This window comes from Homo sapiens, chromosome 2 (genome assembly GCF_000001405.40).
Source record: "Homo sapiens chromosome 2, GRCh38.p14 Primary Assembly".
Taxonomy (NCBI): Eukaryota; Metazoa; Chordata; class Mammalia; order Primates; family Hominidae; genus Homo; species Homo sapiens.
Window position 1 is genome coordinate 195,195,000 of NC_000002.12, and position 15,207 is coordinate 195,210,206.

Genomic DNA, 15,207 nt, shown 5'->3' on the forward strand with positions numbered 1-15,207 from the left:
GAAAAGAAATGAAAAGAAAAACAAAACCTAAGAAATACTCTTTTGGACATTGGCCTAGGCAAATAACATAAGACACCAAAATCAAACTAAACAAAAACAAAAATAGACAAATGGGACTTAATTAAACTCAAAAGCTTCTGCATAGCAAAAGAAATAATAGTATAAATAGACAACTCACAGAATGGTAGCAAATATTTGGAAGCTATGCATCTGGCAAAGGACTAGTATCCAGAATCTACAAGGAACTTAAACAACTCAACAAGAAGAAGTAAATGTCCACATTAAAAAATGTGCAAACAACATTAACAGACATTTTTCAAAAGAAGACATACAAGCAGCCAACAAATATATGAAAAAAGAAGCTCAACATCACTAACCATCAGAGAAATGCAAATTAAAATTACAATGAGATACCACCTTACACCAGTCAGAAGTGCTGTTACTAAAAAGTGAAAAAAAAAACAGGTTTTGATGAGGATATGGATAAAAGGGAATGTTTGTAAAGTGTTGGTGAGGATGTAAATTAGTACGGTCTCTGTGAAAAGCGGTATGGAGATTTCTCAAAGAGCTAAAAATAGAATTATCATTTGATCTAGCAATCCCACTATATGTACCCAAAGGAAAAGAAATCATTATATTAAAATGACACATGCATTCGTATGTTTATTGCAGAATTATTCACAACAGCAGATTCCTGGAATCAACCAAAGTGTCCATCAACTGTTGAATGGATAAAGAAAATGCGGTATATTTGCACCACAGAATACTACTCAGCCATAGAAAGAATAAAATAATGTCCTTTGCAGCAACATGGATGGAGCCTGAGACCATTATCCTCAGTGAAATAACTCAAAAACAGAACATCAAATATTAAGTTTTTACTCATGAGTGGGAGCTAAACAATGGGAACCCATAAACATTAAAATGTAAATAATAGTATAGACTCCAAATGACCTATTAGATACAATGTTCACTATCTGGTGATGGTTACACTAGAAGCCCAAACCTCACCATTAGCAACATATCCACGTAACAAACCTACACAGGCACCCCCTGAATCTATAATTTTAAAAAAGAAATCCTGCAATTAGAAAAAAATATTGTGTACAAATTTAGATTTCTTATACAAAATCGGAAAAATGTTGTCATCTAGTTAAAATCACTGGTTTAACCTATGATCCTGAATGTGACATTAAGATTCAATTTTATTGACACATAACATTGTCATTTGCAGTAGGGATCCAACGCCAGTAACTAAATTGCAGCCCCTTATTTTTTTCATCTTATTATTATATGAAAGACTTCTATGTGAAATGCCAGGAGCGTACAGTATTCAAGAAACACTTCATCCTTCTCTCTGCACTCCACTCATCAGCTTTACTCCTTGGGAGAAGTTACTGATCTGTTGAAAGAGTTGAGAAGAAACATCACCCATTACACCAAATTACCCAGAAACAGAAACTCCATATAAAAATTGTGTTGGCTCATGTGGCCTCTCTTTTGCTCTTCTGAGTCTCCTTCTGCCCTTTGGTAAGCACGCTAGGTCAGGTACTTTCTTATGTGGTTGGAAAATCCAACATTCCTAGGTATAGAAAGCTGCAATTTATCTAGACAAATTAACTGCTGGAAGAAAGGGGATTCTAGCTAGCAGAATGCAATGCTGTCAAAATAGCCATCCTTTAATTTCTAAGAGTATGCTGTAGAGTACCAAAATGTTGTTAGTTCTTCTGAGCATTTGAGGAAGATTTAGGATAAGACTCTTTTCCCTCTACTTATACTTGAATTTCAGTGGTTCTTTAATCTACTTGCAAAATAGAATAATTTGTGGAACTTAAAAACTAGCCAGGCCACCTGGGGGTTCTAATTTCACTGGTCTGAGGTTGACCCTAATTATTGTAAGGACCAATAGGGTATTATAAGGTTGGACCACGATAATACCATTATCAACCAGCTAGTTGTCAAAAGCACAGAGGGAAGAAATGATTCGATTTGCCATGACTATCAAGTCTTGGTAATCTGGAAATCTTTGCAAGGCAACATTAGTGTTTTACTCTGGTGGAATTTAGCAGCTGTCATTTCCAACATAGGTGATTTTTCTAGCATAGCATTATTGCAGCACAATCTCGAAGATGCAAATCTTCATGTTACAGCCCATTGACTTAAGAGAAGCATTTGCTGTCTCATTTGTACTATCTCTGTCTTAAAGGAGGCAGTAGTCAATGGCTTTCTCAACTCCCATTCTGAAGTTGACATTCCATCTATCCCCTTTTCTCTTGAATCTTTCTTCTCACCTTACCCCAAAATATCAACAAAAAGAAACTTAATGAGTAAGATGAGGGGAAGCAGGGCGCTGGGAAAAAAAGTCTAAAATGAAAAAAAAAAGGCAAATGAGATGAGTACCAAAAAAAAAAAAAGACATAGAAAAGAGTAGGGAGAGAATGGGACAATGGAAGTGTTATGCTACAATCTGTGTTTACTTTATGCTTCTCAAGTGTGCAAAATGTCAAAAATAATATTACCTTCCTCATGTGTATTTCTCCAAATAGGAATAAAATGTGATAGGATGGATTAAACAGGATAGAACTACATGGAACCTACAATTAATTTATCATTTTTATCTGTTTTTTTAAGTTAACACTTAGTAGTCAGGATGAGCTACGTTAAAAATCCACCTTTGTATTTAAAAAGTGTTATTTTCTTCCATATATCAATATGTATTTCCCTCTGCAATGTGTTTGTGTGTATATGAATGTGTGGTGTGTGTGTGTGTGTGTGCATGTGTGTGTGTTTGTGTGTGTGGAGACAAAGACAGAGAGACAAACAGGTAAAGAGAGTGAGGTGTTCCACATTACATGTCTCTATTCCATAAACTTTATACTAGATTTTTAAATGTGTTATTCCCCACTGGAAATCCTAATATAATCAAAGAATCTTCACACCATGCAAGTTTCACTGATGCCTAGTCTGGTCTCATTTTACAAATAATGAAACTCAGGAACACAAAATTACCAAGGTCAAATCACTATTCAGTGACCATCTCATTACAAAGATTTTGATGCTTTACAAATCTTTTTCTTCATAACATGTTATAATAAAGAATGAAATGAAGTAAAAAAAGTAATGTGAGTAAAGTGCTTTGTAATATTTAAAAGAGGAAATACTGATTTTTGTGGTCCCAAGCATAAAAACAGCTAAGGAATGTAATATGGTATTTGATCTCATATGTAGATGGATTAAAGTGTCTGGTTGTTGGCCTAGGTGTTTTGATCTGAGAAGTCTAGGAATCACCTCCCCAATCCCACCTTCAGTTAACTCCTAAAACAAAACAAGGATTTGAGACACTTCCAGAAATCCATGTCCTACAGAAGCAATGATTCAATTATATAATCAATTAACTATTTGCCTTTATATTTTTGTACCAATCTAATTATTGTTTATAATAAATATTCTGTCTTCATTTGGCCATTAATAGGTAGAGATATGTTTGTAATTTTTTTTTTTTTTTTGAGACGGGATCTCACTCCGTCACCCAAGCTGGAGTGCAGTGGCACAATCTCAGCTCACTGCAACCTCTGACTCCTGGGCTCAAGTGATCCTCTCCCCTCAGCCTCCAGAGCAGCTGGGAACACAGGTGTATGCCCCAATGCCTGTTTTTTGTTTCTGTTTGTTTGTTTTTTGGTTTATTTGTTTGGGTTTTTTTTTTGTTTTTGGGGGGTTTTTTTTTTTGGTAGAGATGGGGTTTCACCATGTCGCCCAAGCTGGTCTCAAACTCCTGAGCTCAAGTGATCTGCCTGCCTCGGCTTCCCAATGTGCTGGGATTACAGGCATGAGCCACTACCCCTGACCGTGTTTGTAATTTCAAATGTTCCTAAAATTCATAAAAAACACATTTCATACACTGAGTCATGGACTCAGCCAACACATTCATGTGTACACATAAAGCTGAAGTGCTTAAAACTTAGGAGTAGAAAAACAAATACCATCATTGGCAATTGTAGAATTTGACTAGTTATGGCTGCACTATGGTATGTTACTGCATGCTGGTGTTATTTAAACATAATCTATAAAATATTCATAAGAAGGTTTTGGAAGGTTTTTTCAATATTAGGAAGCTAGTCAGACAAATTTTTAACATTTTTTGATACAAATACACAGAGACAGATATAGAAATAGTATATTTTCATGTAAAAATGTCAGAATATTTATATAAAATGTATATAATATAAGCCTTTATGTCTATAGGTAACAATAAATATATATATATGTGTTTCATGTCAAATAAGATAATGGATGTATAAAAATAACTATAAAAGAATTTGATTATTAAAATTATAATTACACACACACACAAAATTCAAATGAAATTTATTCTACTGTAGCTAATATGCCATCCCCGCCAACTACTTGAGACTCTTCTATCTCAAAAGCTTAATGGCTAAACCTTAGAGATTTGATATGCCACCATGTCTTGAGAAATGAGCAAGACATGCTTGATTAGTTTCAAAATGAAGTGTGCATTTCTATGAGACTATTTAGCAGGCTGTGGCTTGCGTGTGTAAAATGTCAGGATTACTAAGTTTGATATGAAGTCAGTGTCTTGGGATCAATTAGTTTAAAGTTTATTAAGAAAAGAAGAAATCTATCATTAGGTATATTTTGAAACACACAAAAAGTACTGAATGAGGATGGCAACATGTTTAATTCAATATGCATCTTCATAGAGGCTGTCAAATGGCTCTAAAAGTTCTGATGCATCATAGGTCCTATAGGTGTCTTTGCCAGCTTTGGATACCTCTTCTTTTACCACATTGTGACAATCCAGTAGTTGTGCTCTGATTGCCTTGAAGTTTAATGTACTTCTATTTTGAGGCATTTACTGAATCAAATTCAGAACCATGCAGCTTGAGGTATAGGAGCACTATCATTTTTCTTTATTCTATTAAAAAGGTCTCTCATCTTCTTCCTATATATTTTCCCTAGCCAGAAAAGAAAATATTGCTGTCACTTTCAGTGGGATTTGCCTTTCATCTCACAGTAGCATTTCAGGTCTCTAAGTGGTATCCAATTTATTTGTATTCCAATGCCACTTCACTGAAGCATGCCTCTCTGTCAGCTGAGCACAAGATTCAGGTGCTCAGTACTTGGAAGCCATGCTATGAACAAATTGACAATATCAACTGCAGCTAGTCATCTTGCAAGCAATTTTCACTATCTGCAGGAGAAGAGTTCTCAAAATTATTTAGTAGCTCTATCTATAATATTTTTGAAGGTATTCCAAGGTTCCTTTCCTTGACTTTCTCAAAGTATGATATTTTTGTTTTCAATTATCTTTTATCATATTGAAGATGCATTTTAGTATAATTTTTATTCTCCTAAAACTAGTCTTTATTTAATATGTTTTTAATCTCTTCAAATTTTTACAATTTACTATTAAGATTAAACTTTATTCCTTGTAATTTACACCGTATGTCAAAAGGATTATTACTTCATAATTTTATGATGTCTAAAATCTGAGGGATAGTCCAGAATTACAATATGCATAGCATAGCATAGTGTAATATTACAGAACACCATATTTTCCTACTCCCCTTTTTGCATCGTTCACCATATACTCATTCACTTCAAAAGGATGCAATAATTACAGCTCATTGTGTGACTAGTATACTATGTTTAAAATATTCCTTCTCATTTATGATGGATTGACTGCAAATTTTTCACTCTTTCCTTGCAATGTTCCTTTGCCGTTTCTCCCATCATGGCCTAGAGCCTGCTTCAGTGCTCCTTTGAATCTGGGCTGGCTTTGTGGCTTGTTTCTCACACTAAAATGCAAGAAAGTGACAGAGTGCCAGTTTCACACTTAGGCTACAAATGCCTTTGTGCTCCTCCACTCTGTCTTGGGATTCCTACGTCTACCATGAGATCAAACTCAGGTTCGCGTTCTGGAGGATGAGATGCCACTCGGAGCAGAACCATTTTTTCCAGCAGATTCATGTAAATCAACCTATCATCACCCAACCCCAGGTGACCACAGATGATGAGTAAGCCTAGCCAAAGTCACCTGAGCCCAGTGCAGCCAACCTATAGAATCATAATAAATAATAAGTTATTGAAATTTGTGTTTAGATAGAGTGCAAAAAAATGGCCTTACATTGGGCTAAGACACATCAAATAGGCCAAAGAGAAGGCATATCTTCTAGATATCTGCAGGAAAATTAAAGATATGTCTAACCATATACTCTCATTTTCTCCAAAAAAGATATTTAAATTTTTATTTAATTTTCAAAATTAATATCTTGTGTTTAGGCACCACTGAGGAACTGAAGAATGCAACATGAAGAAACCAATATTTAAGTTGGGTTTTGAAGGAGGAAGATCATTTGTAAGACAAAGAGGGAACACAATAGTCTCAACAACAGAATGAAGCACTTGAGCAAAGATGAAGAAGTGGGCACGGCTAGAATAAAGTTGCACATAGAGGTTAATGGAAGAAGAGACTGAAAAATGGGTTGGGACTATATTGTAAAAGGCTTTCTCAGGCAAGTTAAGAAATTTGGGCCTAATTTTGTGGGCATTAAAGAGAATTATTCTGATAAAGGAGTGATGATAATTTAGGAGACAGAGTGAAGAATGGTTTAAATGAGGGTGATTAGATGCAGTGAAATCAGATAAGATGGCTATTTTAAGTGTGCAAAGGAGATATGATGATGGCTTCAAAGGCACTGTCAGGAAAGATGAGAAGAACTAGTTTCAATAATTTTTTCAGAGTTAAAATTACTAGAATTTAAAGACTTATTATTGATAATTTGGGTTAGGAAAGGAAGGAGGAAAAGAGAGAGCAAAACAGGCTAGCATTTTCTCTAGATTTCCAGATTAAAAGATGGAGGGGGATTGTGATACTTCCACTAAAATAGAAAATATCAGAATAGAAACTTACTTTAAGAGGAGAAACAAATTATTTTCAACATATTAATTTTAAAGTAGCTTGAGGACATACAGGTTGGCATGGTGATTAAAAAAAAAGATAAAGCTGAAGTTAATGAAATTACAATTGTCTATCTCTGCATTTTGATGGCAATTAAAGGCATGGAAGCCTGAAATACCCAGAGGTCATGTTAGAGTGAGAAAAAAAGAGAGTCAAAGAATTGAACTCTGGTGAATACAATAATCTAAAAGAACAAGCAAAGGAGAAGAAGCTACTAAAGGACACTTAAAGGCAACTTTCCAATGTTTATAAAAATTTTAAGATAATAATGACCTGGAAACTGAAGGCACAAATTCCACAAGGAGAGGGTGGTGAAGAGTGTCAAGTGCTAAACAAAAGATGAGTCAAGATGAGGTTCAAAAGGGCACTCCTATTGGCAGTTAAGAGGTGACTGCAGGAAGAGCAGCTTTCTCAAGCACTAAACATGCCCTTCTTGTTAGAAGTAGTTAATGGATAGATAGTAATTATTTTGAAAAAACAGGGCTTAAGCTACGTTGTTATACATTTCACTGAAGAATTGAAGGAGGGAGATTGGGCTTGAAGGAAAGATAGATGAAAGTTGAGAATATCTGAGCTTACTTATAATCAGAAGGGAAAGGATTCTTGAAGAAAAAGACTAACCAGGATTCAGACAGCTCACAGGATGTGGTCTCTGTGGTATGGACGTAGCAGCTACTTCAGAAAATAAGCAAAGGCATCTCTACCTCTGGGTCATAAGGGAAGAATGGGTGTCCCTATAAGAATGTCTACAAGAGGGAATGCAAAGTCATGGATATCCCACCTGATAATCTTTTCTCTGTGAGGTAACAATCTATAGAGCATGATGGCATTGAAAGTACAATAGGATTCAGAATAAAGGCTTTGGTATAGACATTATGGAAACTCAAAAGGAAATTGAAAAGAGACAGAAAAATGATTTCCAAACAGTTCTGATGGCTCAGTAGACACTGACAAATCCGAAATTTATAGTCGTAATGATGTATAATCTGTGTGAAGTCAATGTCAGTAGTGGAGGAAGTGGATTGTTGGATTCATTTTAGTGAAAACAGAAAAAAATAGTGTGGATAAAAACACTAAAAGTCATAATGACACTGTTTTGAAGACAGACTGCAGCCGAGCTAGAAGCCTGGAGTGAAGCAAGAGTGCAGCTTATATTTACAAAGGGGATTGAAAATGCAAGTTCAATCCTCTCGAATCCAATACTACTTCAATTCTGTTATGGTGAAAATAGCTTTTACATTGGCCTTTTCATATATAAAAAGTTACAATTTAATTTACTTATGCCTGTTCTACTTAAAAACTCAGTTCAGTTTTTCTGTTTTGGATATTTTACTATCACTCTTTTAGTGAACATTCACAATTATAACCTACATAAAACATAATTTCCTCTGATAGTAAGGCACTATTTTATTTACCTTTCCCATGCTAAACTAAATGTCAAGCATAGTTCAGCAAAATAAATCAATAAATCTCAACAGACACAAATGCTTATTTTATTAATGCCAAATTTAACTCCAAATTAAAATTATGTGAGATTGACATTGTGTACATATTTCAGATAAACTAATTTTCCTTTTTAATATCAAATACATAAGGAGAGTAATTAAAGCATTTGTTGCCCTTTTCTCCTGGTTCCATATGTATGGACTGAGAAGATAATAATTAAAATGAATTTGCTCAACTCCAACAGACAATATAAAAATATGAAGATAGATAGACAGATGGGAAATAGATGGATAAACAGATGGTCATATCACTTTGGAAAAATAAAGTTAAAACTTGCTTGTCATTCAAATTAACAGTGAACAGCATTCTTTAAACTTGCACCTTGGATCAGAGCTAACAGTATAAGTGCTAAACCATAGCACTATATCATGTGACCTTTAAAATAAAAACAAGTACAAAGACTATTTCGAGATTTTTACTTCAGATCTCAAACAATTCAAAAGACTGCTGATACAAGTAATTTCCATGTTTATGGCAGAAAATAAAATTTTATAATTAATATATTTATAAACCAAAGATATCCAGAAATTAGTTTACCTTCCCTACTCAGGATTGAGGTTCAAGGGAGAACTGTGTTTTTAAAGGGACTGAAACCTTGAAGAGGTCTTTCACATCACTTGTAAGTTGGATTCCTAGGTATTTTATTCTCTTTGAAGCAATTGTGAATGGGAGTTCACTCATGATTTGGCTCTCTGTTTGTCTGTTATTGGTGTATAAAAATGCTTGTGATTTTTGCACATTGATTTTGTGTCCTAAAACTTTGCTGAAGTTGCTTATCAGCTTAAGGAGATTTTGGGCTGAGACGATGGGGTTTTCTAAATATACAATCCTATCATCTGCAAACAGAGACAATTTGACTTCCTCTTTTCCTAATTGAATGCCCTTTATTTCTTTCTCCTGCCTGATTGCCCTGGCCAGAACTTCCAACACTATGTTGAATAGGAGTGGCAAGAGAGGGCATCCCTGTCTTGTGCCAGTTTTCAAAAGGAATGCTTCCAGTTTTTGCCCATTCAGTATGATATTGGCTGTGGGTTTGTCATAAATAGCTCTTATTATTTTGAGACACGTCCCATCAATACCTAATTTATTGAGAGTTTTTAGCATGAAGGGCTATTGAATTTTGCTCTATTTTGCAAATAGAGCAAAAACTAGCCACCATAACAAGGAGAGGAAAGCCTAAGGCAAAAGAAATTAATCTGGCTTATATTATTTTAAAAAAAGAAATTAAGGCTTACTTGACTTTACACTACGCCATGCATAGGTTTCAAAATATAATTTAAAAGAGCATAAAAGGCCAATATAGATAACTTTGTCACTAACATACTTATGTTCTTGCTTATGTGGTCTGTAGTTGGTTAATAGAGCTCCTAATAAAGCTTGGTAATGGCTGTCAATAAAGTCATAATTTGGCCGTCAGTAGCCATTCTGAGTATAGTTTTCATAATCATAGACTAATACATCAAGAAAAAGAGAAGATTGCATCATAATACCTGTTGTCTTGTTAGTATCATGTAGTATCTGGAACATAGTGGATGATCAATGTAAATCTGAAAGTATAAAGGAATAAAATGAGAATATAGTTTTCATTCACTTTTAGTTTAAATATAATTTTGATTACATATCAATAATAGAAAATATTTATCTGAATTTTAACTATATTTATGAGGTATTAAATAATATGCCTGAGATCCACTGAGAGCCAATGCAATAAGGATAGAAAAAAACTTTAATTAAAAAAATTAAATAAAGCATTGACATTATAAATAGAGGAGTGTTAATGGTCATTCAAGGTAGCAGGCATTAAGATACAATTAATTATGTATCAAGCCAGTACAATGGCCAGAGTGTTAAGAGGTAGGCTCTGTAATCAGGGAGACCTGGGTTTGAATTCCAGGTGACAACTTTACTAACTCTGCAGGTCTAGAATTTGCTTCTACCCTACTTGCAAGCTAATAAATTAGCCTGTAACAGAGATGTAAGTTTCCTGGATCAGAGACAAACGTCTTTATTACAACACAGAAAGCAGCATAAGCATCAGCATATTTGCATTGGCTCCCCTTGACCCTAAGTCCCACCAGTGCAACGTAATAGACCATGATGGAAACTACACAAGCAGCGGGTTTATGTCACAAATGAGAAAACTGAGTTTGGGGATCCACTGGTTTTATAGCAATAAGTAAGCAAGCCTGTTCTTTGTCCAAGTGAGAAAAGAGACATAGTTTCATCTCTCAATCAGAAGAAATATTCCAGTTGTCAGGGACTTAGAGTCTGGCCCACCCAGCAAGATATGTAAGAATGCAAGAGAACCAAAGAGTATTGTCTCTGCAAACATTATCTTACACATTTACTAATTTATTCATTCACTTTCTCTCCCTTTTCACCTATTTTATTTTTCTTCATTATTCCTCTCATCGACTTTTTTATATTGTTTGTTTCTCCCACCAGAATAGAAGCTCTAAGAAGGCAGAATGTGTTTTCTTCACTGTTACATTGATAGAATTACTATATATATACTTGTTTTATAAAATATATATTTGTTTTATTTTTGTAATGTCATATTTAAATATTTATCAGTTCCTAAAAGCTGGTTGCTTTTCTAGATATCAAGGATATGGCAATTAACAAGATGAAGAAGGTCCCTACTCTAACCTTCTAAATCTTTATCAGTAAAAAGTGGCCTATAATAATGCCTACCTATATGGTTACTGAGAGGATTTCATGGATAATACAAGTGAAATATTTGGTAAAATTTTTGTCCTATAGTAAGTGCTCATGGATATTAGCAGTTATTTATTCAAATATAATGCTTCTGCCATGGATAGTTTTTGCATCTCACTATTTATATTTTCAAATGTGTTACTACATGTTTTAAATTTTTATTTTTATTATTTGTTTAGAGATGGGGTCTGGCTATGTTGCCCAGGCTGGAGTGCAGTGGCTATTCACAAGCACAATCATTGCATACTATAGCCTGTGGCTCCTGGTCAAGCAATCCTTCTGCTTTAGCCTCTCGAGTGTCTGGGTTTACAGGAATGTGCCACAGCACTCAGCTTACATTTTTATATTTAAAATAAAATGTTCAAACACACAGACTCATATAAAGCATAGTACAACACAGGATTAATTGATGTAAATTTGTTACCATTTTTTCTTCAGATTATCAAATAAAGAAAAAAATTACAACTAATGCCCCTGTCTCTTTCTCTTCTCCCCCTCTCCAGAGTTAACTATGTCATTTCCATTCATGTTCTTGTACAATTGGGGATAATTTTTGTATCTTTAAATAAATGCCATCATACTGAATATACTATTTTGCAACTTTTAAAAACTTAAATTCAAACAGCATTTCCTTTAAGATATCTGTCAAATCTTCTTGATTCTTCCCAAATCATCTCAATGGCATATTTGTGAGGAGTGAAAGAGTGTGAAATGGTACCTAGGTTTGTCATAATAAAAACATCTTACTAAATCCTGTGCTCTGCACTTTTAATGTCTTTTACTCTCACATATAAGTTTTACCAGTATACTAATCTTGCATTAAGAAATGGTCAGATTATAAACACTATGACTTTAAGACATTGACCTTTTAAGAAAATTTTATTTGGAACATTTTTCTTCTTATCTCTAATTCACACTTCAGAGACTGATTAAAATCTTGCTAATTTCACTTGCAAACTATATCGCTATTACTGGTATTTACTGCACTTAACCTTCACCTTTCTGAAAGTAACATTAAAGTGTTATTTGCATAAATGAAAATCATTGCATTTGAATGCCACCCTGACTGTATATATTTTAACCACTTCTCCATAAATGACATTACAAAAACATTGTTGAAAAATGTCATTTTACAAGGCTATTGAAGTATGTTTCAAAAAAAAAAAAAACTACTTTTGATTTTCATGTTACAGATGGATCTTTATACAACGTAAATTCAATGTAAATGCTTGCTGTTAGTTTTCCTACTACTCAGACTCTCACTTATTGGTGTCCTATTTTTTTAAGACTTTTAATGTTTTTAGAGCAGTTTCAAGTTCACAACAAAATTGAGAAGAAGGTACAAAGATTTTCCATAGACTCCCTGCTCCCACACATGCGTAGCCTCCCCAATTGTCAACAGCAACCACCACAGGGATACACTGTTACAATTTATCAACCTACAATGACACATCATAATCACCCAAAGTCTACAGTTCACATTAGGGACTACTCCTAGTATTGTACATTCTATGGGACTGGATAAATGCACAGTGCCATGTATCCACCATTAGAGTGTATCCACCATTATAGTATCATATAGAATATTATAGTTTTGCTGCCTTAAAAATCCTCTGTGTTTTGCCTGTTTATCCTTCCCTCCTTCAAACCCCTGGCAACTCTTTCTTACTTTTGTCCCATAGTTTTGCCTTTTCTCAAATGTTATACAATTGGAATCATACAATATACAGCTTTTTCAGATTGGCTTCTTTCACTTAGTAATATGAATTTGTTTCCATGATGTATTTTTATACCTTGATAGTGCATTCTTTTTTAGTGCTGAATAATATTCCATTGTCTAGACATACTACAGTTTATTTACCCATCCACCTACTGAAGGACATCTTGGTTGCTTCAGAGTTTTGGCAATTATAAACAAAGCTGCTATAAACGTTGATGTGCAAGTTATTGTGTGGACACAAGCTTTCCACTCCTTTAGATAAATACCACGGATCACAATTGCTAGATCAAATGGTAATGGTATGTTTCATCTTGTAAGGAACTGTCAAACTATCTCCCAAAGCAGATGTACCATTTTGCATTTCCACCAGTAACAAAAGGGAGTTCCTGTTGCTCTACCTCCTTACCAGCATTTCTAGTGTTATTGTTCTGGATTTCAACCATTCTAATAGGTGCATAGCCATATCTCACTACTGTTTTAATATTCATTTCCCTGATGGCATATGATGTGGAGCATTTTTATATGCTTATTAGCCATCTGTATATATATTTCTTGGTGAGGTATCTGTTAAGGTATTTGTCCCATTTTTAATCGATTGTTTGTTTTCTTAATGTTGAGTTTTAAGAGTTCTTTGTATATTTTGGATAACAGTCCTTTATCAGGCGTGTCTTTTAAAAATATTTTCTCCCGCTCTATGGCTTGTCTTCTCATTCTGACAGAGTCTTTTGCAGGGCAGAGGTTTTTAATTTTAATGAAGTCTAGCTAATCTATCTTTCATGAATCATACTTTGATGTTGTATCTAAAAAGTCATGCTCACCATACACAAGATTTCTCCTATGTTATAGGAGTTACATAATTTTGCATTTTACATTCAGGTCTATCATCCATTTTGAAGTTAATCTTTTCTGAAAGTGTAAGAGCTGTGTCTAAATTAACTTTTTGACATGTGGATGTCCAGTTGTTCCAGCATCACTTGTTAAAATCACTACCCTTACTCCATTGTCAAAGACTGCCTCCATTGTCTTTGCTCCTCTGTCAAAGATCAGTTGCCTATATTTATGTGAGCCTTTTTTCTAGGTTCTTAATTCTGTTCCATGGCTCTATTTGTCAATTCTTTCACCAATACCGCATTCTCTTAATTACTATGGTTTTATAGTAAGTATTAAATTTGGGTAGTGTCAGTCCTCCAACTTTGTTCTCCTTGAGTATTTTGTTGACTATTATGGGTCTTTTGCCTCTCCATATAAACTTTATAATCGTTTACGATATCTACAAAAATAATTTGCTGAGAGTTTTATTGGGATTGCATTAAATCTTTAGAATAAGTTGGGAAAATGGACGTCTTAATGATATTATGTCTTCCTATCCATTAACATAGAATATCTCTCCATTTACTTAGTGTTTCTTTGTTCTGCCATCAGTTTTGTAGTTTTTTTCATATAGACCTTGTACATATTTCATTAAATTTATACTTCAGTGGTTCATTCTGGGGGGTGATAATAGAAATGATATTGTTTTTAATTTCAAGTTTCACTTGTTCATTGCTAATATATAAGATGGTGATTGACTTGTACATATTAACCTAGTATTCATCAACCTTGCTATAATCACTTATTAGTTGCAGGAGTTCTTTGTCAATTTTTTCAGATTTTCTATATGGAAAATCTCATTTGTAAAAGACTAGTTAGGTTCCTAGAGAAACTTAAGCAGAATATTGATGTGCAGAAACAACTGCCATGTTGATGGTTTCACATTCTTTAAATTGTCAAGTGTGCTGTTAAAAAAAAAACATATGTCACAATGATGTGATTTACATGATAAAAAGTTCTTTTATTGGTGTACAGTTAAGAAATTATATTGAAGAACTTTCTCCATAACTAGTGAGAGTATTTAAAATGTTAAGCCCATAAATTAATGTTCTGGTTGTCCCTTTTACTTGTCTGCTCAAGCTGCTATTACACAATATCATAGCTTGGGTGATTTAAACAATATACATTTATTTCTCACAGTTCTGTATACTGGGAAGTCCAAGATCAAGATGCTGCCTATTTTGGCTACTGGTGAAGACCCTCCTCCTGGCTTACGGATGGCCACCTTCTCACTGTATCCTTAAAGGCAGAGAGAGAGAGAGAGAGAATGAGAGAGACAGAGAGAGAGATTGAGAGAAAAAATGTTACTCTCTTTCTAATAAGGACACAAGGACACTAATTGCATCATGCAGGCCCTACTGTCATGAACTCAACTAACCCTAAGTAGCTCGCAAAGGCTACAACTCCAGAG

General features: G+C 34.3%; 1 long non-coding RNA gene across 3 annotated transcripts in view; it reads right to left on the reverse strand.

Annotated features, from left to right (window-relative positions):
- LOC105376755 (uncharacterized) overlaps positions 1 to 15,207 on the reverse strand; it is a 673,333-nt gene that overhangs the window by 468,828 nt on the left and 189,298 nt on the right. The window contains exons 1-3 of one of the 3 annotated variants that reach the window (XR_001739835.1): positions 10,366 to 10,425; positions 9,979 to 10,035; positions 4,702 to 4,976 (exon numbers count right to left, since the gene is read on the reverse strand). This is a non-coding gene — a long non-coding RNA (uncharacterized LOC105376755). Of the gene's footprint in view, positions 1 to 4,701; positions 4,977 to 9,978; positions 10,036 to 10,365; positions 10,426 to 15,207 lie in introns of those variants that run through there. The other 2 variants (XR_001739834.1, XR_007088699.1) reach the window with 2 other exon arrangements.